At 40.1% G+C, this 27,804-nt stretch overlaps 1 protein-coding gene across 34 annotated transcripts in view, besides 3 other annotated features; it reads right to left on the reverse strand.

Annotated features, from left to right (window-relative positions):
* Window positions 1-457: 457 nt before the first annotated feature.
* The window catches only part of TESPA1 (thymocyte expressed, positive selection associated 1), a 37,174-nt gene continuing 9,827 nt past the window's right edge, over window positions 458-27,804 (reverse strand). For 11 of the 34 annotated variants that reach the window (XM_047429930.1, NM_001136030.3, XM_047429929.1 and 8 more), the window contains 10 exons: window positions 26,843-27,050; window positions 25,920-25,962; window positions 20,286-20,335; window positions 19,626-19,679; window positions 18,831-18,867; window positions 18,496-18,594; window positions 16,185-16,393; window positions 14,874-15,685; window positions 13,611-13,710; window positions 458-2,833 (listed from right to left, as the gene is read on the reverse strand). In XM_047429930.1, the coding sequence (XP_047285886.1) occupies window positions 13,612-13,710; window positions 14,874-15,685; window positions 16,185-16,393; window positions 18,496-18,594; window positions 18,831-18,867; window positions 19,626-19,679; window positions 20,286-20,335; window positions 25,920-25,962; window positions 26,843-27,005 (1,566 nt within the window). In that variant the 5' untranslated portion in view covers window positions 27,006-27,050 and the 3' untranslated portion in view covers window positions 458-2,833; window position 13,611. Of the gene's footprint in view, window positions 2,834-9,196; window positions 9,251-13,610; window positions 13,711-14,873; window positions 15,686-16,184; window positions 16,394-18,495; window positions 18,595-18,830; window positions 18,868-19,625; window positions 19,680-20,285; window positions 20,457-25,919; window positions 26,176-26,842; window positions 27,051-27,804 lie in introns of those variants that run through there. The other 23 variants (NR_147063.2, XR_007063147.1, NR_147062.2 and 20 more) reach the window with 19 other exon arrangements.
* Window positions 11,764-11,813: an enhancer, noted in NCBI's record as "active region_6446". NCBI's record gives its function as "activates an Ori minimal core promoter by ATAC-STARR-seq in GM12878 lymphoblastoid cells {active_cell/tissue: GM12878}" and the evidence as "EXISTENCE:reporter gene assay evidence [ECO:0000049][PMID:35858748]".
* Window positions 26,448-26,959: an enhancer, noted in NCBI's record as "H3K4me1 hESC enhancer chr12:55367789-55368300 (GRCh37/hg19 assembly coordinates)". NCBI's record gives its function as "activates a minimal SCP1, AML or CMV promoter by ChIP-STARR-seq in naive H9 embryonic stem cells {active_cell/tissue: H9 hESC(naive)}" and the evidence as "EXISTENCE:reporter gene assay evidence [ECO:0000049][PMID:30033119]".
* Window positions 26,960-27,469: an enhancer, noted in NCBI's record as "H3K4me1 hESC enhancer chr12:55368301-55368810 (GRCh37/hg19 assembly coordinates)". NCBI's record gives its function as "activates a minimal SCP1, AML or CMV promoter by ChIP-STARR-seq in naive H9 embryonic stem cells {active_cell/tissue: H9 hESC(naive)}" and the evidence as "EXISTENCE:reporter gene assay evidence [ECO:0000049][PMID:30033119]".

Genomic DNA, 27,804 nt, shown 5'->3' on the forward strand with positions numbered 1-27,804 from the left:
GGTGATCAGGCATCTCTGAAACGTGGGTGAATAATCAAGCAGGTGTCCCTGCAGTGATTAAACACCAAGGGAAATCTGTCTTCCCAAGTCCCTGACCGGCACCGGAGTTTTGGGTTCATGGATAAAACACATCTCCTCTGTCTCTACCAGAAAAGGAAAGGAACTGAAATTAAGAGAAGGGAGAGAGTGAAGGATGGTGCCAAGATTGAAAGGAGAAAGAGGTTGAGGGATAGTGAGAGAGGTTGGAGAAGGCAGTAAAAGGAGGCCGCTTACCCAATTTAAAATTGGTGAGATGTTCCTTGGGCTGGTTCATCGGAGGACCAGAGGTCGTAGGTGGATCTTTCTCATGGAGTAAAGAGCAGGAGGACAGGGGATTGATCTCCCCAGGGAAGTCCCCCGATCGAAGTCACAGCACCAAATGTCACGGGCGTCCGTGTGAAGAGACAACCAAACAGGCTTTGTGTGAGCAATAAAGCTTTTTAATCACCTGGGTGCAGGCAGGCTGAGTCCAAAAAGAGAGTCAGCAAAGGGAGATAGGGGTGGGGCTGTTTTATAGGATTTAGGTAGGTAGTGGAAAATTACAGTCAAAGGGGATTATTCTCTGGCAGGCAGGGGTGGGGGTCACAAGGTGCTCAGTGGGGGAGCTTCTGAGCCAGAAGAAGGAATTTCACAAAGTAATGTCATCTGTTAAGGCAGCAACAGGCCATTTTCACTTCTTTTGTGATTCTCCACTTGCTTCAGGCCATCTGGATGTATACATGCAGGTCACAGGGGATATGATGGCTTAGCTTGGGCTCAGAGGCCTGACAGTTTGGATCTGTGTCCTCACCCAAATCTCATGTCAAACTGTAATCCCCATTGTTGGAGGTGGGGCCTGGTGGGTGGTGATTGGATTACTGGGTAGAGTTTTCATTAATCGTTTAGCACCATCTCCCCTTGGTACTGTATAATGAGTGAGTTCTTACAAGATCTGGTCATTTAAAAGTGTTAGCACCTCCCCTTTCCTTTGTTCCTCCTGCTCATACCATGTAAGATGCCTGCTCCCACTTTGCTTTCCACCATGAGTTAAAGCTCCCTGAGGCCTCCCCAGAAACTGATGTTGCCATGCTTCCTGTACAGCCTGCGGAACTGTGAGCCAATTAAACCTCTTTTCTGTATAAATTACCCAGTCTCAGGTATTTATTTATAGCAGTGTGAGAATGGACTAATACAGTTCTTTAAATGAAATATTGTCAGATATTTCTGTTCTCTTGTGACAAGATAGCCTTAACTTTCCCCTCAGCTTGACCAAATAGGTTTCTTCCTGACTTCAGGCCCTTGACCTCCCTTAAGAATATTTGCTTTAGAAAATTTGCTGTAGTTCTTTCTATTTCTTGAGATCTAAATCTTCTTCCAGCCTCTTCCCAGTTTTACAACTCAGGAATATCTTTCTCTAGGACCTGAGAACCACCTCTTTGAAATGTTAACATCAAGGAAGATAGTTCCCCTGTCTCCTGGTTTCTGTGGGTGGGAAGGGTAGGAAACTTGGAGTGGGGGGGCTTTTTCCAAATTGTGAAACTATCTTTTATCATGAAATAGGAGAAAGTTCATTTTGTTCTTTTGGTATGGGGAATTAGTAAACACAGATGGTTTAAAAATTTTTCCACCCTAGCCCTTTTGTCTCTGCCTCACTACGTATCAGACTCAGTTTGTGCCTTCTCCCCTAATGCTGGCAATAGCACCAGAACAAAATCAACTTCTGCTTATCATGTCTGGTGTAATTTTTTCCTTTAAACTTTTGGTTATGATTTCCCTCAAATTCCCTCAAGTCCCTCTCTTCCTGTTTTTTTTTTTTTTTTCTTTTGTCTCACAATTTATTAGGCAGCCAAATAATATACTTCTGGAAATGCGTGCATCTTACTTCTCCCATTCTATTAATATTAATATTTTCTCAGGGGAGAAATGTGTCCAAGATGCTCTGAAACCACATACTGCCTAAGAGAGCACTGCATGTGCTCAAGCCCTGTTTATTGACAAAACATTTAACTTCCAAAGCAAACTACAGCTGTTAGTTAACTTTAAAAACATGCCATGATTTAAAAAAAATATTTGTATTGTTTTCTGCCAACAGAAATAGCATTTTTTCCCCCCACAATGGCTAGGAGAAGAGACTCTGAATCCTACTTATCTCTTTTTCTATAAAGATGCAAAATTTTGGGTAGAGAAAGAAACTGGATTTAAGGAGGAGTCTCCAAGTTGATTTCTTCAAAGGAGGTCTCAAGAAGAAAAATAGGACTCCAGTGTTGTAGAAGATTTTCTGGAATTTAGTTAGGAATACAGGGATGAACAGAGGTGCAGAGGGAATCCTAGTGTGAGATGTACCATGCTTTTAGAGCCAGAAAGTGAGGTGTCCTTCCTCTCTTCACTTGGGCCTTTTGAAAGTATTAGAAAAAAACTTGTCCCCTAAACTTGATCCTGAAGTCTCCTAACTGCCCTTGGCAATGTCAAAGCTTGGGAGAAAATTAAGGCTTTGTTCAGTTTACTATCATCCACATTATATATTTTAATACACACATAGTAGAGAAACCAGTGTACAGAGAAATGAAGAGATGTGCCTAAGGTCTTTGTGCATGCAGCTTGTGGCAGCATTAGGATGTGGATTCCAAATCGCTCAGTCTGGTCTTCCTCCCCATGTACCATGCTGCCTTTCTCCTGCAGAGTTTGGGGGTTTGGAGGACCAAGGAGTAGGGGCTGGATGTTGAGGGCAGTGCAGTTTCCTGCAAGAGGTGGCTTTTAGTTTCTTCTTTGAAGCCAATTCTGTCAGACCACATGCTGTTGTGGTGGTGGAGAAAGCCTGCAATGGGAATAAAAAAGATACATATCATGCATTTTTTAAACAACTTTGGGTACTGAGGTTGGTAGGAACTTTCATACCTCAGCTGTGGAAATGTTTCTCAGTATTATAAGTGACATTTAAAGTTATTAGCAGCAGCAGCAAAGAGTCATGTGACTTGGGGTTTCTGCTCTTTTCATCATGAGGTGAGATTCCTGCAAGAGTTTACCTCTTACTGTTTAATACTTATAAAGGCATACATTTATACCTTTATTTTTTTGTATGGATTGCTGAACACTGTTGGAGAATATCACTAAACCACTATCAATTCATGTTCTGCACCTTGAAATGAGCCTAACATTATTCACCTATTCAACTAGCAATGCATTTTCTATTAATAAGTATTTCTCTTGTTTTTTCTACATAGTAGAATTCTCAAATTTTTACCATTCCTTTCCTGACTCACACTTTTTAGTAATGACCCCACAGGAAAAAGAGAGAAAGAAATAGGCAGAATTTTTCTTGACTTCCTCTCCAGATGACCAATATAACCATATTGACACTTAAAATTTTTTTCCATTTTTTTTTCCCTTTAATCTCAGAGAAATATCTGTCACACTACTTTATGGCTAGCTACACCCTCCAAAAGTGCCTTGAATCTCATCTCATCCCAGTTCTCAGTGACTTCACACCATTAACATCCCTGATATAGTTTGGCTCTGTGTCCCCACCCAAATATCATGTTGAATTGTGATCCTGAATGTTGGAGGTGGGGCCTCATGGGAGGTGATTGGATCACAGAAGCAGATTTCCCCCTTGCTGTTCTCATGACAGCGAGTGAATTCTCATGAGATCTGGTTGTTTAAAAGTGTGTAGCTCTTCCCCCTTCTCTCTCTCTCCTGCTGACCATGTGAATATGTGCTTGCTTCCCCTTCCCCTTCTGCCATGAATGAAAGTTCCTGAGGTCTCCCTAGCCATGCCTCCTGCACAGCCTGTGGAACCATGAGCCAATTAAACCTCTTTTCTTTACCCACTCTCAGCTAGGTCCTTACAGCAATGTGAGAAGAGACTCATACAATTCCTTCCCTCCTAAACCATAGCCTTTCCCATTCTATTGATTCTTTCCTTCCAGGGAAATATTTACTGTATGCTTAAACTTTCACCATCCTAGAAAAAAATTATTTACCTACTTTCTTTTCAACATTTCTTATTCACTTTTCATATTAATATTTTAAAGCCTTGTCACCCAAATAAAAATATTCTTATCAAGGTTAGTAATTGTTATCTAGTCACAAATACAATGGTATCTTTGCATTTTCCTTCCTATTGGATATTTTATGGTAAATGTTACTGAAGACTACACCCTCCTTCTTGAGAGAAACATCACTTGGTTTCTATTTGCAACCTTTTTCTAATCAATATTGCTCCTTTATATACGTTGTTCCTTGATAAAACTTTAAATATTAATATTTCTAAGTTGTTTTTTTTTTTTTACTTCAGATTCTGATTCTGCATACTTTCTTGGGTGAACTATCTTTCCTCATGCCGTCACCTATTATAAGTAAGCCTTGAACTCCAAAAAGCTCAATTCCTAGATTCCTTTATCCAAACTGCCTTATGGACTGTTGTTTGAGTTTGCCCTCCAAAATTCATGTTGGAATTTAATTGCCATCGTGATAGTATCAAGAGGTGAGGTCTTAGGGAAAAAATTAGGATTAGATAAACTCATCAGGGTGAGGCCCCATGATGGGAATCTTGGCTATATAAGAAGAGGAAGGGAGACCTGAGATGGCATGCTCTTGCTTTTTTACCATGTGATATCCTCTGCCATGTTATGATGCAGAAAGGAGGCCCTCACCGGATGTGGTCCCTCAACCTTGGACTTCCCAGCTCCCAGAACTGTAGTAAATAAATTTCTTTTATAAAGTAAAATACCTAGTTTGTAATGTTCTATTATAGCAACAGAAACCAATGAAGACATGAACCTCTTTATCACAGTATTTTAGAAGTACCTTACACTCACCATGTTCAGATATGAACTCATCAGCTTTTTCTAAATAGTCAAACAAGATGACTAGATACTCTTTCAGTACAGTGTTAATCTTGACTTTCTATTTACACTGCTATTTTATAGTTTTGCAAGAGCAGAGATTACCTTAGTGATTTATGTTGGGTAGAGATGCAAATAATTTCCATCCAGTGGAACCAGTAATCCCAGAGATAAAGTTTATGCTGTTATTGGATATTAACCAGTTTTGTATCTAATATGGCAATCTGTTAAATTCTCTCTCTGTATAAACTGACTTCTCAAATAGTCTTTGGACCAGGTCAAGCATATTGCTGGTGCCTTCAGTAATTAATGAATTGAGTAAAGTCTTTGAACATGTTTATCTACATTTGCATGAGAGTCATTATTTTACCTTTTTGAAAATTATACTTTAATATATTTGCCTTCCAAATTGTTATTCCTATTTTTACTTCATTCTTAATAAAATGATATTTACATCCATTTAGTTGCCCAAGAGGAAACCTGTATGCCCTATCTTTCTTTCTGTTCCTTATTCCATTTTTCTTCCCCAAACACAAGTCTAATCGGTCCTGGCTTAGATATTTTACCTCCTGAATATCTCAAAATCTCACTCGTCCTCCCCTCTATTCCCACTGCCTTCAGCTTGTTTCTGATCATCACATTTCTCCCTAGGTTTCTGCAGTAGATTCTTAAATTATTTTCCTTACTCTGCCGGCTTCCTACCCAGTCCATCTCCCATACTTCTACCAGAATAATCTTTCTAAAAGACAAATCTAATCACATCACTTCCTTTGTAAATTTTTCAGTGGATTCCTACCTTAGACTAAACCAAAACACTTAAAATAACATAGGAGACTCTGTTTTATAACTTCCTTTCTATTTATCTTTCTTATTTTCAGTTTTGATCTTTCTCCAGCACATCCCCTTTCTCCCACTAGGCATAAGGTGTAGTTTCCATAAGATATTGTGGTATTCCATTCATCTGTCTTTGAACTTACCTTTCTCTCTGCCTAGAATATCAATATTCTGCTTTTCCTTTTTCTACTCTCCTCAGCCACCTTCTCCCTGTTCAATGTTGGACACATCTGTCCAGACTTACCTTCTCTACATCTTTTTTTATTTACTTTTTTTTTTTTTGAGACGGAGTCTCGCTCTGTCGCCCACGCTAGAGTGCAGTGGCACGATCACAGCTCACTGCAAGCTCCGCCTCCCGGGTTCACGCCATTCTCCTGCCTCAAGCCTCCCGAGTAGCTGGGACTACAGGGACCCGCCACTACGCCTGGCTAATTTTTTTTGTATTTTTAGTAGAGACGGGGTTTCACCGTGTTAGCCAGGATGCTCTCAATCTCCTGACCTCGTGATCTGCCCGCCTCGGCCTCCCAAAGTGCTGGGATTACAGGCGTGAGCCACCGTGCCCGGCCTACCTTCTCTACATCTTTGCCAACACACATCGTTAAAAAAAGTAATGCCATCTTCTGAAAGGTTAATTTCTGGTCCCTATGGCATTTAATGAAAATTATTAATAATTACTGATTCTCTTGTCATGTTTTTCACTAAACTATGAGCTCAAAGCATCCTGTGAACATTTCTGCTTATTCTGTATAATGCTTCTCTTGCTGGTGACTTTATAAGAAGGCAAGTACATTTCAGTGGTGACAAAGGTAGTGAGAGTATTGGTACTTAGCATAAAGGGTCAAGGCACACAGTAAATGAAGCTCAGATCCAAGTACAGGTAGCGAGGCTTGCCCTGATCCACAGTAACAGCCTAAACTTCTGCTCAATCAGGGCCATATGCTCTGATGGAAACGGCCTTGGCTTGGATCTCAGGAGACCTGGGCCTTAGTTCTGGCTCTGACACTAACTAGTTGCATGATCTTGCTAAGTCCTTTTCTTGAGCCCATTCAAGTATAAAATGGATTTCAGGTAAATGAAATCACAAAATGCAAAACCACAGACAAAATAACACTTCTGTATCTTCTTTTCTCTTCCTCAGTCTTCCCTTTATCTATACTGTCTCATTCTTTCTTTGGCTGTGGAAGGCAGAAAGATAATCTTTATCTGCATTGCTTAATCCCCATTTTCTAAGTTGTAGTTCAAATGGATCACCAAGATTACTTCCAAGGCTGCCAAGGCACACAACATCAGGTGTCAACATTCACATAGAAAGCAATGTAAGAATTGCTTTTGAGGATGTGCAGAGAAGAGGAGGTCCTGGCTTCATCCACACCACTTTACACAGTCCTTCTGGTAGAAAGAGCCTCTAGTAATTATACTGTATAGCATTTTCAGAAATATTGTCTCATATAAGTCTTATATAGAGAGATGATGTCCACAGGATTATCCATGCCATCACATATTGCAAGGCTTCCTTTCTTTTAAAGGCTGAATAATATTTCACTGTATATATATGTCTCATTTTCTTTATCTATTCATCCACTGATGGACATTAAGTTTGTTTCCACATCTTAGTCATTGGGAATAGTGCTGCAGTGAAAATAGGAGTGCTAATATCTCTTCAAGATCCTGATTTCAATTCTTTTGGATAATTACCCAGAAATAGGATTGCTACATCATATGGTAGTTCCACTTTTTATTTTTTGAGGAAACTTAGTACTCTTTTCCATAGCCGTTGCACCATGTTACATTCTTACCAACAGTGTACAGAAGTTTCAGTTACTCTACATCCTTGCGAACACGTATCTTTCTTTTCACTAATAGCCATCCTAACAGGTTTAAGGTAATATTTCATTGTGATTTTGATTTGCATTTTCTTGATGATTAGTGATACTGAGAATCTTTTGATATACCTGTTGTGCACTTGTATGTCTTCTTTCAATAAATGATAATTCCAAAATATATGAGAAACTTCTTCAACTTAATAACAAAACAAACAAATAGATCATCCAATTAAAAAAATGGACAAAGGTTGACATCCATCCCTTTGAAATGTAATTATCAAGGAGGGTAGCACCTGTCTCTTCCAGTCTCAATGGGCAGGTGGGCATCTAACTTAAGCACTTTGTTTTAACTTGCAAAAACCACTTCCTGTCTTAAAAATATGAGGTTTATTTTTTTCTTTGCATAAAGCCAATTGACTGACACAGATGGCCACTCCAATTACCAGGTAAGTCTAGGGTGAACTGTGAGTGACAAATGATTCTGTTAAGTCTTCTTACTTGAGGACAAAGTATTGTTTATTTGACAACAGCCATGTAATGGGTTGTATCTGCCTGGCTATGTACAAGGGTAAGATTTCGTTCTGTGTTTGCAATCTGTTTAGTGGATGTTCTGTAATACATATCATAGTCTGCTTCAATGGTATTCAAAAATAAAACTTTCTTTCTTTTACACCTTTGTGGAGTGATTTCCTGGGGTGGGAGGAGATTTTGTTTTTAATTATATTTTCCCAACAGAGGCAAAACAACCTTGGTAAGAATTGTAAATGAGGTGGAAAAATATTCACAATTTCTTGATGTCCTCCCACTATCCCTCCCCCTTGTCTAATCTCTTCTTACACTTCACATCTGACTGTCCCTCTTCAGAATTTATTTTGATATAAAAATGTGTCCAGTATCATCATCTATAAAATGGGGAATAATGAAAGACCTTATGTCATAGGATGAAATGATTTAATATCCATAAGTGCTAAAGATACTGTCTGCTATGTAGTAATCCCTATATATATTGTTATTGGTAATATTATCACATAGGACAATCTTACATCAAAGAGAAGACTGTAGCTACCCAACTTACACAGGTTCCACCAAGTACAAACAGATAGTGCTTTGAGTTACCCACCATTTGGGGGTATCTCAAGCTAGTTTTCTTCTTTGTCTTGTGCTCTGAACGAGCATTCCCACCTAGTCCCTCCTGTCTCTTCTGCTGCCACCAGCAGGGGTGACCATAAAAATGAAAACTTCCACCTCTAGATATGGTCACTTCACAAAGAGAATAAATATTGACCTGTGCTACCTCAGATCTGGTAAAAGAAACAAAAAGAACGACAAAAAAATAAAAACTTTCTCCTTGGCTCTGCCGCTTATAAGTGTGATAAAGGTCAAGTGGTTTAAATGTCAACACAGGAAACCAATAGAAAGGGCTGTGAATTTGACATTTTTGAGCATGGTGGAAATTATGAGGAAAGATGTGGGTCATCCTTTCTCAGGAACTTGGAGGAAGATTAAAACCTCTTTCCCAGCAGAGACTAAATGAGAAGGTGGCAAGTGAAGAAAGCTGTTGGCTGCGGGTCAAGGTCCTCTTTTAATAGAAAAGGTGCCTGTTTGACTTCATTTCGTGTTGCCATGACAATACCACAGATAACGGCAATTTTTAAAGAAAAGAAATTTATTTCTTACAATTCTGGAGGCTGGCAAATCCAAGGTCAAAAGCCTGCATCTGGTGAGGGCCTCCTTGTAGCATCATCCCATGGCGGAAGATGGAGGGGGAAGACAGCGTGAGAGGGCAAGAAAGCAAGACACAGCCAAACTTGGTTTTATAACAAGCTCACTTGAGATAACGAATCCTCTCCCACAATAGTGACATTAATCCATTTACGAGGACAGAGCCCTCATGACCTAGTCACCTCTCAAAGGTTTGACCTCTCAGCACTGCATGGGGGGTTAAGGTTCCAATATACCAACTTTGCGAGACTCATTCAAACCACAGCAGTGCCCTTGTGCTAATTACAGAAAGGCACTCACCCTATGTGAATGAATTAGAAAAAAATGGAGCTCGCTCTTAGAAGATGAAAGCCCTAGAGTTTTTGGATGGCAAGCTCAGTAGGGCTGGATTCTAATTCCCATTTGCCTACTCAGCTGGGTGTCTCTGGGCAATGCATGGGCTGCACAACGCTACACGGTGGCTGGCTGAGTGCTGCTACCACTTCCTATCCACTACTAACAAGTAGTAGTTAATACCTGGAACTTAAAACGACATTATAATGGAAGATCACTAATCTCCAGGAAATAATTACAGACTCTGAAAAAGGCAGAAGTGGGACTATTTCCCAGCAGAACTGAAAAAAATTATCCCACTTAGCTCTGCCTTTGATTGTGGTGAGTGAACTTCCCCCTTCCATATTTATCACACAGGCTTTAATATTGGCAGTACTGAGCTGTTGCTATAGCTCTCTCCGCTTCTTGAGATTTCTTAAAGGGTAATAGAGGAGTGGATTGAGAGAAATAGGTTATAGCTTTGTGAAAAGATGGTTAAACAAATGCACAGGACATTGGAAAAATTTGGGAACTACTGTGACCCCTTCCTCAGCCAAAGACTGCGTCAGGAAAGAAGAGATCTCTTATTCTTCTAGGTAATCATAGAAAAAAATCACAAAATATTTTCCTAACTTACTTGAGAGAAAAAGTGCATTTAATTTATAAAGTTATGCTATTTCATTGATGATCATAAACCATTTTTTGTAAGACTCATAATTATTTTACATTCCACTTAAGGAGGCAAAAAAAGACAACTAAATTGGCTGACACTATGAATTTTAAGGCACAACCTAATTTCAGAGATGTTAAAATGTGGAAAAATGTGTGCCTTAGAATCAATAAAATACAGCATTTTAAACCATTGCCTCTCCTGCTGTAATGAAGCCCCATCACTGGCAGAAAATGGAATCTAGTTAGGTACTTGAAATGTATGACTCCTAGCAATACTTTCTCCCTAGCAATTCAATTCTGATATTTTAAAATACTGACCTTTAGACAAAGTTGGGACAGGTTTGTGAGAGGAACTTGTGTTCTGGGCATTGCATTGCATAGATTGCCCAGGAATGTATAACCATATAAATCCTGCACACAGCCTGCTTTGTGGAACATCTTGGCATTTTTTTTCTTGTGCAAGGCTGACATCTGCTGGACAAACAACACTTAAGCAAAGTGTTGCATTTTAGAGTAAATTCAATTCTTGGCAAGAACCTACTTGTGGAGTATATACTACACATTTTCTGAGGAGAAGTTGCATGTAATTCTTATCTTTGTTTTTTTATAGGTAAGGTGTTTTTTCCTTCTGGCTTCTTTTATGATTTTTCCCTTTACTTGTGATTTTCTGTAGTTTAAAAATTATAAGCTTAGGTGTAGATTTTTGCGTTTTTTTGTGCGTGTGTTTATTCTTTTCGGTGTTCTCTGAGCTCTCTGGATCTGTGGTTTGGTATCTGACATTCATTTGGGGGAATTCTCAATTATTATTGTTTCAGATATTTCTTTTATTTCTTTCTCTCTTTCTTCTCCTTCTGGAATTTCCATTATGCATATGTTACACCTTTTGTAACTGTCCCACATTTCATGGATATTCTCTTATATTTTTTTCAGTCTTCTCTTAGCTTTTCAGTTTTGGTGGTTTTTATAGCTATAGTCTCAAGCTCAGAGATTCTTTCCTCAGCCATGTCCAGTCCACCAATAAGCCCATCAAAGGCATTCCTCATTTCTGTGACACCATTTTTTATCTCTAGCATTTTTTTTACTCTAAGGATTTCCATCTCTCTGTTCATTTGTTCTTGCGCACAGACTACTTTATCCATTAGAGCCCTTATCATTTTAGTTGTTTTAAATTTCCAGTTTGATAATCCTAACATCCCTGTCATATCTGAGACTGGTTTTAACGTTTTCTCTGTTTCTTCAACCTGTTTTTGCCTTTTACTATGTCTTTTTTTTACAACTGGACGCGATGTACTGAGTAAAAGAAATTGATGTAAATAGGCTTTTAGTAATGTGGTGGTAAGGTTTAGGGAGAAGGGAAGCGTTCCATGGTCTTATGGTTAGGTCTCAGTCTTCCAGTGAGACTGTGCCTCTGGATTGTGACTCTCACCTGTGCTTCTCATCCTCTCTGTCCCCTTTAATGGGACGGGATGGCTAGAGTAGGCAGGAGTTGGGTGTTTCCCTTCCTTCAGGTCGGTTAGTCTCTGATAAAACCTCATCCGGTTAGGTTTTTGGTATCTAGTTTCTCCCGAGGGAAGACTTTGTTAAGAGGAATAGAATGCTCTGCTGCATTTCAAAATGGTTCCTTTCTCCCGCCCCCTGCGGGAAACACTAGGGGATTTTTCTCCAGTATTTCCTGTGAGAACATGGTTGAGCTCCTAGAAGTAAGACTCCCAGAAACAAGGGGCCTCCCAATGACTGGGTCTCCCTAGAGTTTTTATTTCTCAGACTGGTCCATGCTGAGCATCCAGTAATTCCTCGGTTATTGTCCGGGTTCTCTACCGTGGTTCTGATTCCTGGGGGAGTTTATGCTTTGGGGTTTTTGCTCTAACAAGTCATAAATCTTTGCATTTGCCTATTTCTCTAATTTGAGGAGAAGTGGTTTGCCCTGTGACCCACTTCTCTGATGGGTCTAGAACGGTTACTAATTTTTCAGTCTGTTCAGGTTTTTACTTGTTGTTTGGGTGGAGTGGCCGCTTCTAGCTCCTAACATGCCAGACCAGCAACTGAAACCATCTGAAACTTCTTGAAGTGCATATGACATATTGATGCCTTCTGCTATTTACCTCTTTTGTGACTAAATACATACATATGATTCATATACCCTGAGATGTAGGTAGTAGGTAAGAGAGAAACAAGAGTGATTAGATTCCTAAAACCACAGAGAATTAGAATTAAAACAGTTAGAATTGTAAATATCTTTGTGTGTCTGAGCAAGTACCACTGAAATTTTGGAGTATTAACTAAGAAAACAATTAGACTAGAAAATGTAGAAAATGGTACCAAGATATCCAAAATAAAGGAATCTCTAAGCAAGATTTATTTACTTAATTCAATAAAGATTTTAATTTATACTATCTGGGGAAAATACCATTATCCCTTATGCCATTTTCTTTGTGGTTGTAGCAGATAGGTGGTTAAAACTACAGAAAGATTAATTTTCATTAGTTTAAATAATAAATTACTGGCCAAACTATTTAAAGGTATAAGAGATATCTCTGAAAAAATTAATACTGAAAAACTCATATCTGGAGGAAAGAAATTTTAGCTGCAATAAATAACAATGTGAAATTCATTTCCTGCTTTGAGGAGGGGAGGGAGAGCTACCTTCATCAGACCACAGTTGCAGAAGGGAGCTCAGACCCTAAATGAGCATAGCTGTGAGGTACATTGAGGAGTCTGCTCTGAGTTCAATGATGTGGGCTGATTAGAACATAGCTGAAAGCAGGTGTTGGGATATTGATTTCCATGGCTGGTCCTCACCTGTTACAAAACTTCTACTACAATGAGTTTCAAACTTCAATATGCAATCAATTATCTAACCTAAAGATCTTGGTAAAACTGTGATTCATTAGGTCTGGGGTGGGGGCTGACAGTCCACATTTCTAACAAAATCCCAGGGGATGCTGATGCTCCTTGTATCTGTACACTACAGTTTGAATATTAAAGTTCTACACAATGTCTCCTGGAACAGCAGTTCTCAGACTGTGATTACCAGACCAGCAGCAATAGCATCACCTGAGAACTTCTTAGAAATGCAAATTCTTTGGTTCTATCCAGGCCAATTCAATCAGACACTCTGGGAGCTGGGATCTGGTCATTTGTATTTTAACAAGCCCTCCAGGTGATTGTGATGCCTGCCAAAGCCTGGGCATCATTGATCTAGAGAGGTATTTTCCAGCCATAATAGAATTACCTGGAAGCTTAAAATAATTAGTCATTGGTTTCCAATTAAATCAGAATTACAGAATGTGGGACCCTTTATTATGGGTTTAAAAAAAAAAAACCTTCCTCATTTGATTACAATGTGCAGCCAGGTTTGAGAACTGCCTGAGAGAGGCCCACTTACTTCACGAGTCTTTGCCAGCAAAAGTCTGGTGGTGGTGGGGGTGCCTGGGTCTGCTGGGCCAGCGACTCTGACTCTGCTCCTCCTCACTGTTGCTTTGCACCTGTAACCAAGATCCCACAGAACTCAGCCAGAGCCAAGGGGGAAAGGGGGTAAGGAAAGGTGCAGGTGGCAGGTAGCTGTAGGGGAAGGAGGCTGAGTGTACTTGAGAGACAGCCTCTTCTGTGGTGTCAGGGACACAGTAATGAGGAAGGCAGGAGCGGAGGTGTAGCTCTACATTCAAGGAGAGGTGACATACATGCAAATGATATTTCAAATAATCACGGCTTCTTTTTGTGGCAAGGATTTAAAAGCTTTTTAAAGAGATCCCAACACTTCATGGAAGTATCTTCCATAGACCCAGGCGAGAGGAGTTCTGAGTCTTAGAGGGTCAGAAGAGTTGGTGGACTTAGAGAACACGAAGAGTTGGTGGACTTAGAGAATGTGCCCACCTAGTCCTGCACTATTCCTTCTAGAACATTCTTTGGTTACCCAGAATCACAAAGTTTGCTGGTCAAATGGCCCCAAGCCGGTTGCAGGAATGTGCGCTGGTTTTGCCTGATGACTGTTCTCTCAAGGGCTGACCTCTCCAGTAGTGTATGCAGCCTAGGCCCAAATGATGACCAATGGCTCTTTGTGTAGGTGGGAGCTTGTGGCATTTGGATGTGCAGGCTCGGGTAACCAAACATGGACATGCAAGGTCCCTTATGGTATAGGACAGGTCTGGGCACTGGAAGATAAGGGAACAGGTCAGGAGCTGGGGAGTGGTTCTGCTCACACTGTCACATTTTAGCACAGAAGTCCTAACAGTCTGAGAATCCTAGATTGAAATCTGGACTTCTGGGTCTTTATGGTTAGATATTTGTCAAGGTAAGGGAGAATTTATTTTATTTAAGAGTGGTTAGCTTTGTGTAAAACTGCTCTCCATTTGTAATCTCATGAGGACCACAACAAATGGTGATGAGAGGTGTACTTAATGGGAACATTAAATGGCAATCAGATCAGGTATTACCAAAGGAGCTCTGAAAACTCGACTGCTCTTAGGAAACCAGGCCTCTGTCTCTTTCTCCCTGTATATTAACCCTGAATTGAAATCAGAAAGTGGTATATCTGGCTAGGACAGGAAGCCTGGATTATTTTTCCCCCAAGGGTTCTAACCCTTCATCTTCTGGGAAAGAATCTACAGCCTTTCTCTGCCAGTCTCTCCCTCACCTCCAACCCACTTACCTCCTCCAAGTCAAAAGTGTCCTGTGGCTGCTGGCTTAAAGACCGACGCAGTTCTGGTCTGTCTACACTCTGCTTCCATTTCTGCTGGGTGATGGACAGGTCCAAGGACTTAACCTTCCTGCCCATGAGATTCTTCTGGAAGAGGCTCTTTCTTGCTCTGCTCTTTCTTTTCCAGAAAGTCTCATCCTTGGCTGGATGGGTTTCCGTATTGGTGGCTGGTAGACTACACAGCTCTCTCCTTATCTGAGCTGGGTCTGTGCTCCACTGTGGATCTTCTATGGGCAGAGAATGTGTGCAACAGGGTACCTTGGGGTTCGAATCCAGAGTTTGGGATGGTGCTAGCACTGTGGACATCCTCTGCTGTGTTTCCTCTTCACAGCAGAAGACACATGGATAGGGAGAAGTGGGCAACTTCTTACCCTCAGCAGGGGGCACAGGATCTTCCTGTGAGAATTGCCCCAAATCAGAGTCTTGCTGGAGGAACTGCTTCTCTTCTTTCACTTTGTCCATCACTTCCAACACAACTTGGTCCAAACTGTTCCTTTTGGGGGTGTTGTGGGGTGGTGGTGGCCGGTCTCGGGGGCATGTGTACAGACACATCTTGGAGATGGCTTTCCGAAGGCGGTCTCTGGGTGACTGGGGTTCAGGCTCTCGGGACAGAATCCTGATGGATGGCACATCAGTTGGATGGTTGCAATTCCAGAACATGTGGGATGGTGTGAACTTTTGGACAGGTGTCTTAGACACATAGGAGTAGAGACAGAAGAAGGCATCAGCAGTGACAGCCAGTGTTTGCACCTGCTTAAACCTGCCTGGGTACAAGAGTTAAAGATGGTAAGTCTGGGGTTCATCAGCAAATCTTCTTAAATCTCTCCCTTCAGGAGGCTCCCCAAAGCTCAAAATTCAGGGAGAAGCTTCCAATTTTCCTACTAGTGTTTCTCCCTTTTAGATTTCTAACACTCTTTTTCTGGAATTTCGTAACTTCTTGACACCCCATCCCATGTAGATATTCCAACTGGGAAACAAAAAAGAGGGATAAGATTTATAGACATCATGCTGATATGATTGACTGAAAGGCAAGAAGGCCTAAAGGAAGCAGTAGTGGCCTGAAGTCTCTTAAAGGCTATTTCTTTAAGAGAAAGAATCAGACAGAGTTCTCCATCTTCACTGAAGACAACATAAGAGGAAATAGACACAATAGGCAAAGGGTTAAAGATAACCAAGAGAAAGCAGGATTTGAAGCCACTGAGCCCTGCTGTGAAAATCTAAAGGAAAAGGGAAGTAGAGCAGGTGCCTGGGAGGGACACTCACTGGCCAGCATGAGGCAGGGGTCTTCCATTTCAATCCTCCGCACCTGGGACTTCAGGAAGAGCTGGAAATCAATGCCCTTGGCCTGAGAGGGGGTGGTGAAAAATCGGGCGGGTATCCGAGAAGTGTCTTTGTGATCCTCTTGGCCAAAGCCCAGACTGAAGAGGACATCTTCTGCATCTTCTTGCACTTTGTCCAGAATTTCTGAGATGCTGAAATGAGGGAGTTTGGGTAAATAAGGGACAACTTTGAGACACATGGTAATTCAGAATATCAGAATATCTAATAAAAGTGTCAGAAGACTGAAATTCTTTTCTGTCCATTTCTCTACTTTTCACTGTGACTTTGAGAAAAGCTTTCACTTCTCTGAACCTAAATTATCTGTTGGAAACATGGAAACTACAATCCAACCCTAGTTATAAAAACTGAATAAAATTTTAGTACAGTACTTTGAACAACTTATTGCAGACGAATAAAAATTTAAGTAAATATAAAAGGATTTTGAAAAATAAGAGCAGCATAGATACAAATAAATTTCACAGTTGCATCATTAAGTGCTCAGTTCCCAAATTTGCCATCCGACTTGCCCCAGTGGTTGTTGCGTGGGACAACTAAGCAATGAATATGTAAGAAACATAGAACCCCTGAAGGTAAACATTTTTATTCTTGATCTTAGGGCAAAAAGTAATCAATAAGCACATCCAAAACCTGATTTTGAGAGGTATGCTCCTTTCTAGCACTATTTTCAGTACAGAAGTCCTGTGTCACAGAAGATCCCGTGCACGCACTCTCTCTTTATGGTATCAACCTGGATTTATGTCTAAATCGGAGTTCCACCAACTTGGGTGACACTAGAGCTTAGTAATTGTGTTTCAGACAGTGAGGCTAAGGGAAGCTGTTATTATTTGAGGCTTTGAATAATCACTATCACTCTCTTCAGAAAGTATGCTGGGCTTTTTGATCAAATAGGGACCATCTTGTTTAGCTAATAGCTGGACGGTCGGAATCCCTGGATCTACTCTTGTCCTTGCCAGCTTTTATCTCCATGGTCCTAAGTTTCCCTATCTGTGAATTGTGGGCGTAAAACTGGATCAGTGCTTCTCAACCATGGCTACATGTTAGGGTCACCTTTGCAGGCTTTAAAAATGCATATATTTGAATCCCATCTTCAGACATTCTGATTAAATTGAACTAGGGTATGAACTAGGACTAAGGCTCAGTGAGGATAAATTACTAAATTTGGTCATGTGACAAAATTTAAGTCTCAGAACCAGGTCTCAAATTCAAATTTTGACTTCAAATTTCAGATACTTTTCATTATATCATACTAGTTTTCCTGACTTTTCATCTTTTTCAAAGAGTTATTTGTGTGTATATTTTGTCCACCCTATGAAATCATTCAGCTCCTGGGATCAAGCTATTTGTCCGCTTCATCTTTTCTTTTTTTATTTTCATTTTTGTTTTAAGTTCTGGGGTACATGTGCAGGAAGTGCAGGTTTGTTACATAGGTAAACGTGTGCTAGGGTGGTTTGCTGCACCTATCAACCCATCACCTAGGTATTAAGCCCAGCATGCATTAGCTATTTTTCCCAATGGTCTCCCTCCTCTCACCCCATCCCCTGACAGGTCCCAGTGTGTGTTGTTCCCCTCCCTGTGTCCATGTGTTCTCATTGTTCAGCTCCCACTTAGACGTGAAAACATGTGGTGTTTGGTTTTCTGTTCCTGTGTTAGTTTGCTGAGGATAACGGCTTCCAGCTCTATCCATGTCCCTGCAAAGGACACGAACGCGTTCCTTTTAATGGCTGCCTAGTATTCGTGTATATGAACCACATTTTCTTTATCCAGTCTATCACTGATGGGCAGCTGGGTTGATTCCATGTCTTTGCTATTGTGAATAGTGCTGCTTCATCTTTTTCAAATTCCATACAGTCATTGCCTGGCCTGCCTGTCCGAATGAATTAATATTTTATTGCTTCATTCAGTCAACAAATTAGTCAATTAATCAATACATTGTTTACTGAGCACCTACTCTGAGTCTTGGAACTGTGATGGTACCAGTACTATACCTCCTGGGGTACAAGTTTCAGTGGGAGGAGACACCTGTATTTTACACATAGTATTCAGCTCTGAGAAGACTCCTCTGTGTCTTTCACAATTCTTGAAACAAATATGGTCACATTTTTCAAGTATGCAGTAAAAGTGCATAAAAGCTCCAGTAAGATATCCCAGAAAAAACAGGCAATGGCTCTTGGTTCCATTCTCCTATGCTTCTCATCTTCTCCACCCTTCCACCCTGCCAAACTTCAGTACCTACCTTGAACTAGTCTTGTTGGTCCCCCCAGTCATGCTGCTGGAAGCCAAACTACAGCCAAGATCAAGTAGCTGGCAAGGCCTGGCTGTCTCGAGGAAACTCCTGCAGAGATCAAAGCTGATGTCATACAAATCTTGTTTCCAGTCTGCACCCTGGCTTCGAGGAATCCCTGCTGGACTTATTCACCCCCTGAACAGTAGTCTATGCAGTGCTTGTTCGTTGGAAAGTCTCACTCTCTAATGTGAATCTTTAGCTCTTTATTTTAATCTCTTTGACCTACCCCAATTCACTGATTCTTAAAGGAGACATCATTCACCCTGGCTGAACCTAACACTTACCTGGAGAAGAGTTTGCCATTGGCGGCCAGTAGTGTGGCTGGACAAGAAACAGAGAAGCAAAGAGCAAATTAGAAGGGAAAATGAAAATCACCTGTGTTGCCCCTCTGAACCTAAAACTCAGTCCCCTCTGTTTCTTTTTGTGACTATGACAGGCTAGCTGGACCCCATAAATTCTGCACTTCTTGGGGCCTCAAGATTACCTAACACAGTTCTGGAATAGGGACAGATATGCCAGAGAGTAACTGGCCTTAACCCTATGAACTTCTGACCCATGACTGATGTTTAGGCAAGAGCCCCTCTGTCCTAAAAAGGATAGAGTCATTTGGCCTTCCTGGCTAGTGTTCCTGTCCCCCTACACAAGTCTTTACAGCTCCCAGGAGACACTGGTAGGTTGCTGTGCTTTCATTCTTTACTGATGTCCTTCTCCTCCTGCAGTATAGTCTCTATTTTACATCCAATGCACAGACTTGTTTGGAGTTTCTGTACAGAAAACAGTCTTAAAGCTATCTGGGCAGCAAACATTATAGTAATTTTATATGTTATCATCCCAGGGGCCAAAGGAAAGTTCCAGTGATGAACCAGTAAGAGTCATGGTAGGCTGATGAGGAGGTGTTTCTGGGCATGTGATGCCTTCTGCATTTTACATTAGATAATAATGAGACTGCCCTTTCCCTGTAGATAAGACCCCAGGGATGGGCTGTTTCTTTCTGAAGTTTTGCACTTCCATCCTATCCTGAATTCATACAATGTATATCCTGTTTTCTCATCCCAACCTCAGAGAACTGTGCCACTTACCCTCCGCTCCCAGGGTCAAGTCATCTTCAAAGCTGGTCCCATGGCTGCAGAAGCCTGTCCAATAATCAGGTGAGGGTCACAGAAAACCAGGATGGAACATATACACATGCACATGCACACCCCTGCATACACGAACATCTTCACATGCCCTTAGACTAGACTTGCACAACCAGATAATCATACTAGATACCCACGTTTGTCAAATTACCACAAACTGTACATATATCACCTCAGAAGTCATATTCATTTTTGATTCAGAAACAATCATACATGCATTCACCTATAACCTTTCCCCTATATCACATAGTTATGTACACAATCCCCTGCCAAACAGCAAACATATGGGGATGTGCACTCACACCCATATAAACACATATTTTATAAAGTTCTTTTCCTATAGCAGTGGTTGTTATCTGAGCAACCACTAGCAGAACATAGCCTATGACTGTTAGTGAGCCTGTGGGCTCTGAGCCAGCACTTTCTTCTGGATTTCCTGAAGTCTTGTGACCACGAATAGTGTTTTGCAGCCAGTTTAAGAACACTCAGGGACTCTTTTGCATGCCTATGCATGTATATGTGCATAAACACTCACATACACACACGCACAGGTATATCACTCTCCAGGTAGAAGAAAAATAGATGGACAGAACCTATACTCACCATTGTAGATAAACTGTCCTGCTTCCTCAGAAAATCCTTCTTCAGAGTATCTAAACCAAAAACAGTCTTATAGGTTGAAGTCACTTACTACATTTTCCAAGGAGCTTTTTCATGGAAAAACTCACACATATTCATATTCTTTTCCAGTGAGAGTCAGTAGTATTTAATTTGCTTTTATGTTGGAGAAAACAAAGACAGAGTGGTTACTTGTCTGAAAAATTCATAGAAGTAGTTGGGGAAACTGGGGCTGGAATGCACTATATTTTAGATTGTGCTTCTGTTGTCCTGGCCACAGGACTAAAGGACGAAAGTCAACTTAACAATGATTCTTCGGTCTTTAGGTGAAACAGGAAAGAAAGAATATTGAAGCAAAACGGGAGAATTACATTCATAGAAGCAGGCGTTTGCATGCCATAATTTCCAAATCACAAATATAAATTTCTAGGTTTTCTTAAAACTTTTAGATCACCTTAACTACCCACACTTCCTTCCTTCTCTCTGAACCATGTTATTGCTGAATATCATGTCACTCAGGAAACAGCAGAAATTGTATCCTGGTTAGAGATATTTTAAAATTTTCAGACATGGTCTTATCAAACATTTACCATCTCCACCAGAAGAACAAACCGAAATCAGCACAAATGGTGGTGAGAGACAGCTCAGTTTTACAAACAAGGAAGAAATTCTCTCTGTCCAAAACAGGTGTGTGAAGTAATCTGTGACAGGGCTTTGAAATGTGATCAGCACATCCAGATTCTAGTCCTGGCTCATTGTGGCTGTTTTGTTCTCAAATATTACGTAAGGGAATTTGGAACCCTAGATATTATCATCATCTGAGTCTACTTCAAACACTGATATGTTGTGAATTTTGTAGAGTTTGCTTTCCTAAAGCTTTTTACATGGAAGTTATTCATGGTGCTTTAAATGTAATCTCAAGTGGAGGTTGGAGGGGAAAAGGGTCAGTAACGTGAGTTAGCAGAGAAACTGAAGTGCATCCACTGGTGCTGGTCCTAAAGGAGCTTTTCTCTTTATCAGTCTCCAGCAATCCAGATTACTCTCAGGCCACTGGAGTATCACTTCATGGCGTGTGTAACAGTGGGAATAGGCTTACTAACCAAATATCTGTAGGTCAAGTTCTGCCTAAATTTTACAAAATAAGTCACTACATATTTATATATGTATATATATATATATATATATATATGTGTGTGTGTAGATAGATAGATATAGATATATCTTTTGCTTGTAACTCCTTTCAATAGCAAAAAAATCAACCATGTTTACCAAAATCTGAATTTTAATATGTCCTTATGAAAAATACTACATCAAAGGTTCATTATAAAATATGAAATAATAGGCAAGCTCATTAAGAATAGGTAACTCTAATAATGCACCTAGAACTATAAATATATTTTTCTCTTCCTAATATATAATTACATAAAGTATGTTGTGGTATAATACTACAAACATGTGTAACTGTAATATTTACTATTACTACTAAAAACAGCATGATAGCTAATATAGTCAAGTACTAGAATATTGCAATTTACTACTGTATTTAATGCTTGTGTTGTAGCTGCACAGTAGTGCCACTACTAAGGCCTACTATTACTAGAGGTACATTTAAATAGACTACAATTCCATTTCTAGGTTGTACCCAATGGACATGCCTGCATAGGTTCCCCCAAGTAAATACTAGTCATGATAACCAAAAAATGGAAGCCTCCAAATCCCTATTTATTATAAAATTAAACAATTATATAATAACTATACAACTTAATATTACACAATAATAAGAATGAGTTACTGCTGCATGCGAATACTTGGATAAGCATCATAAACATAATGCTAAGCAAAAGAAACACACATAAAACAGTACATGTTATATGACTCTATTTCTATAAAGTTCAAAATAATCCCAAACATATCTATGATGTTACAAGTCAGGGTATTTGTTACCCTTGGAAGCAGGATAGTGAACGAAACGGACGGAAAGGAGGCATTTGGAATGCTGGTGATGCTCTGCTTTAGGTTTCATGGGTGTATTCCCTTTGTGAAAATTCATTGAGCTATTTATGTATTTATTTATTTGCCTATTATTTATTTGTTGACAGGGTCTCACTCTGTCTCCCAGGTTGGAGCACAGTGAGAATAGCTCACTGTAGCCTTGAACTCCTAAGCCCAAGAGAGCCTCCTGCCTCAATCTCCTGAGTAGCTAGGACTAAAGGTGCTGCCATGCCTGGCTAATTTTAAAAAACTGTTGTTTTTTTTTCCTTGTAGAGATGGAGGACTGGTACATTGCCCAGGGTGGTCTTGAACTCTTGGGCTCAAGCAATCCTCCTGCCTTGGGCTCCCAAAGTGCTGGGGTTACAGGCATGAGCCATGTGCCTAGCCTCAGCTACATATTTAATACTCATTCATTTTTCAGTAAGTATATTATACTTCAATATAATTTATATTAAAAAGGAAAATGTTACTGATATGTATGCTGAACTTCAATACAATTTACATTTAAAATGTCACTGATAAAATTTCTGGTTTGTCCAAAGCAAAACTCACTTGTATTCATTGGATACAAGTTTTTATTGGGTGCTTATCCTACATTTCTCTTCTTTAGTTATAATCTGCCAAGTATTTCTATTCTCTTTATGAGGAATAGCCATTGGTGGGTCTTGGGGCATTCTGTGGAACCTACAACAGCAGTGTGGACATGGGCCTGGAGCTATTGATGCTTTCTCACCGAGCACAATGATTTGAGACTTTATGTCCATCACTCAAGTCCCAGGCCTTCCATGGGTTATCGGATAGGCCATAAAATCAATGACCAGGGACTAGATGTATAGTTGCTCCCCTTTTCCCACCCTTGCATTGAAAAATTCCTTAGCATCATTTTAAGTCTCAAATGAAAGAGCCAAGGTATTGCTCTTTCTGTATATGCAGTTCATAAACAAATAGTAGGGAGGAGGGGTTGGATTGTGGGAAGAAGTATATGGCTATTTTTAGCTTCTTCTAGATGTTTCCATAGCTACCTGCCTGCAGAGATTTAAGCTGAAGCCCACACAGATGATTTTTGGGCTCCCAACCCCACCTCTGGTGATTCATGAGCAACACAGTCATGTCCCAGAAAATCCCGAGAGCTTAGGAGGAGAAAGAAAAAAGGAGAGGCATAGTTTGCAAAGACATGCATGATCAGATCCTGTGGCAGAATAGTCGGCCGCTAGATTCAATTGCACTGAGAAACATTGACACTAAATTGCCTGAGATGTTGGTGAACTCTCCTGCAGAGCTTGTCAGAAAAGAAGATGCTCTTGCTACCAGAGGATGTTAGGCTTTGGAAAGAAAAATGGAAACTATATGGTCTTGGAATAAAATTTGAAAAGTGCCCCTCAGGGCACCTGGCAGAGTGGACAGATAATCAGTAAATGCGGGCTCCTTGTTTATCCTCTTTCCTCTGTGGCCTTGGAGCATGGAATACTGTGGTAATTTAGAATCTCATGTTTAGAATGCGTTTTCCCTCTATCTTCTTCATTAGCTATTACCAAAAGTCAAGTGTACTCTCACTATCAATCATTGTCATTATTGTCCTTTAGTTTTTCTAGCTTTTCCATGCAATTAAGAAGTATTACACACTTAAACAGAATTAGAAAACAGAGGAAATTGGAAAATGTTCTGACTCCAACAATTCCCCTTCCAAAGACAAATGCAAGTCTGTTGATTAACTCTTTATGGCCATTTTGAAGTTTAAATATTTGAAATCTTTTCAAAACACAGATACATAATGAAAATGTAACAGATACCCTTGCACCAGTCACTCTATTTTCACACATGTAAACATTTTGCCATATTTGCTTCGGAAAAAATAAAATATTAAGTAATATATAATGTAAAATAAAAAATTAAATATTAAAGATATAACTAAAGTCTTATTTTACTTCTAAAGTCAATTCTTTTCCTTCTTCCAGGTAATCACTATCCAAGAGTTAATATGTATCATTTCTGGGAATTTTTTTTCTGATAAATAAACAGATGTAGATAGATGGATAGATATAGACAGACATTTTGTGGAATTATAGGTAGGTATAAACTCCTCCTTTATAAAACTCACCAGTCACTCACTATTAAAAGCATAAAGCACATACACATATATCATCTCATTTAAACCTCACGAGAACCCTTAGACTGTATTATTTTAAGCGTCCCACTTTATAGCTCAGGCGTCTACAGTGAACAGAATTTAAGTTATTAGCTTATGGTTGGTTAAACACTTAGTAGCACAAGAATTAGGCTCAAGTCTTGGAGACTTTTCACTAACCAGACCACCTTTTTGTCATAAATTTTGGTTCAGGGTTTATCTTTGTAGAGCATGAGTGAAGAAAGATGATTTCTAGAGTTTATTATCTTGTATTTCTGTGAATTTATTATTTTCAATTAGAACGAAATATGTTCTAAGTCAATGAGCATATTTTAAACTACTTGGCACCCCTCTAGGTTATTCAGATAATCAGACAGTTAGCAAAAGCGTAATTAATAATTGCTGACATGAATTGATGACTCAAGAGTAGTTAATGAGATAAGGACATTAACTGAGCTGACTGTTTCCCCTGTACATATCTGGTAAGTATTTTAAATCCTAGGACAGTTCTCATCCTAGGCTTCTCACCCAAACCTGCAAACATGCTGATTACCACCATTCTTTTCTTCCTGTATTCTGTGGGTCCTCTAATTGACTTTGAAATCAATGAATTATGAATAAGATGAGGGCAATGAGAACAATAGGTTTTTTCAAACAACAAAACAAACACAAAATAAATCCTTCCTGGCATTGCCTTCTTGGGTACAGGTGAAATAAACAACCTTGGATTATTTGGTGTTATTTATTTCCTACCAAATAAGCAAGAATGGGTTTCTTTATGCCAATTAATAGATGAGTTTAGATTAAAGGCTATATAAAACTTGAGCCATTCCTGGAGGGAAAATAAGGAGCAGGCAGAAGTTGTCCATTCTGAGAATTCATTATTACACAGAAGACTAAATAGATCACAGAATTCTTCCTTTTGTGTCTGGGTATACTGAGCCTAAGAACGGTACAGGCTGATGGGCTGTGGGGTCTCATAATTTAAAGTATCTCTGAGGAAAGAGATAATGCACTGCCTTGAAGTGCCTGCTCCAATTCTCCCCTGCTTTGAATGACTGTCATAAACCCTAAGCTTCTCCTGTGCTCTGCAGTAGAAATAAATAACACAGATGAATTGCTCTTCAGCAAGAATGATCAGGTTTCCAATTCCTTTTGTTACACAATGTAAGACTCCAATCTAAAGGGGGAAGTCAGGGGAGTAGGGGTCTGGAACTCACCCCAACTATTCCCCATCCACTCTTAGCTTTAGCTCAAACCCAACCTCTATTCCTAGACCTCGTGCCTAATTTAGTCTTAGCCCCAAGTTGCACTTGATTCACAATTGTGATCACCAGTTCACCCTAAACCCGCAACACCCCTCCAACCACCATCTCAACCTTACTTCTAATCTTTAGGCCCAAATCAAATCCATCTTCCCGTCTCTGAGTTTCCAGGAGTTGTGTCTGTTAGCAAATTCAACCATCAGCCACATACCACCCCATTGCCTGTCCAGCACTTACCCGCAATCCTGCAGCCAGTCTTCAATTTTATTGATTGGATTCCCTAGAAAAGTCAGACACTAGATCACTGTGAGAACTGAACGAAATCAGACCTCCTCCCTGCAACTAATTCCATTCCACAAGTTTATTCTTACATAAGCTGCGTCATGAATCTTTTTTTCTACATAAAGCTTTTCTTTAAGATATGAGAGGAATACACCGTATATAAAAATAGTAGATATTTCTTCTCTCTCTCTGCTTCTTTTCTCCCTTCCTCCCAAGAACCTGGAAAGTGCCCAAGATGTCAGGCCCACTGCTGTCTTTTGAGAGTTCCTTTCCCACAAGGGTGGATCCTTCTCATTTAAAAAGAAAAAGAAAAAGAAAGACAATCTTGTTTTTGTGCTTTTTGCTTCCTACCAAATAAGCATTTATTTCCATCAGAATTTTTGTTTTACTCTTATGACTGTGGTCTCATCTGAACCTCAAAGAAGCTCTGAGAAGTGTAGGAAAGGTACTACTACTTCAATTGGACAAATAAGTCTTAGAGAGGTGAGTGACTTCCCAAAGGCCACACAGCTTGTTAGTGACAGCATTGTGGCCAGAGTCCAGGCATCCAGCTTGGGTGTGGTCTTGTTACACAGACAAAATAGAAACACCCCAAAGCATTCATAGAGAGCCCCCAGCCTCAGGTTCTTACAGAAGCTTCTCAGGATGATGCAAAAATGTGCCCTTCCCTTTTTCCTAATCTTATGCCTGTCTCTTTCTCACATAATTCATATTTCGTATTACTTTAGCTTTTCTCCTAAACATATTTAAACCAGTCAAAACAGTCCTCCCTGAGGGCCTGGCTAAACAAGGAACCTGTTCACACTCTGCAGACCTGGGCCTGCTGTCACCTTTTGCCGCCAGACAACATAGACGCCTGTCTGATGTTCGTCTCTTACCTTCTTGGAAAACGTCATCCAGGCTGGAAGGCTCAGGATCTGGGACATCCTGCAGGGCGGCGGCAGCCTCCTCTTCTAGGACCTGGGTCTGCCAGTTACGGCTCTGACGGAGCCAGGCCCGCCGTTTCTCCCAGGATGTGGGGCTCAGCACAGAGGCCTCCATGGCCCTGGCTCAGACTTCAGGGCCTCCCGTAACAGTAATGCCGTCCTAAGAGTTGAAAAACAGTGATACTCCCTCATCATATGCTCAGAAACCATCATGATGCTCAGGGTTGCCCCCTGAATTTTCCTGTGTCTGCCCAAAGGAGCTTGGTCTCTCTGACCATTCAAAAGCAGGGAGGACATGCCTAGCTCATTTTCTGTCTCTCCTGCAAAAAAGGAATGCTCTGAAAACTCTAAATACCGGGATAAGTCTTTCAAGCCAGAAAGTTTGAAAGCTTCAAACATCATGATTTAATGGACATTAAGAAAACTCTTCTGACTTAAAGAATCTCTATTTCTCAGGGTAATCGAAATGCTGTATTAGAAAACATTTTTTCTTTAATCCTTAAGAATGTTGTCTACCAGAATCTTCCATTATGACTAAAACATCTTTAAGTTTACAACTTATAAAATTCACTTCATTTTTTAATCCTCATCAAGACATATGAAAAAATTTAGGGTCTCAAAGGTAAAACAGATTTTCTAAGGTCCCACAACCAGGATGTCACTCCAACTATAGGAATTCTGGGTTTTGTTTGTTTAGTTTTTGTCTTGATTTTTTATGTTCCTGTTTTATATATTAGGAGTCCACATATGATTTCTCTCAGAAAAAAAAAAATACCCTGTGATTAAAAGCAGAGAGACACTGCCTTAAGCAATTAGCAGCCAGCACCTTCAGGATAATGACTTTCTAATTTGTCAACTTGTGCTTCTACCTAACTATGAATTTATTCCTCAGCTCATCAATGCAATTACTAATC

Source organism: Homo sapiens, chromosome 12, assembly GCF_000001405.40.
Source record: "Homo sapiens chromosome 12, GRCh38.p14 Primary Assembly".
NCBI classification, from domain to species: domain Eukaryota; kingdom Metazoa; phylum Chordata; class Mammalia; order Primates; family Hominidae; genus Homo; species Homo sapiens.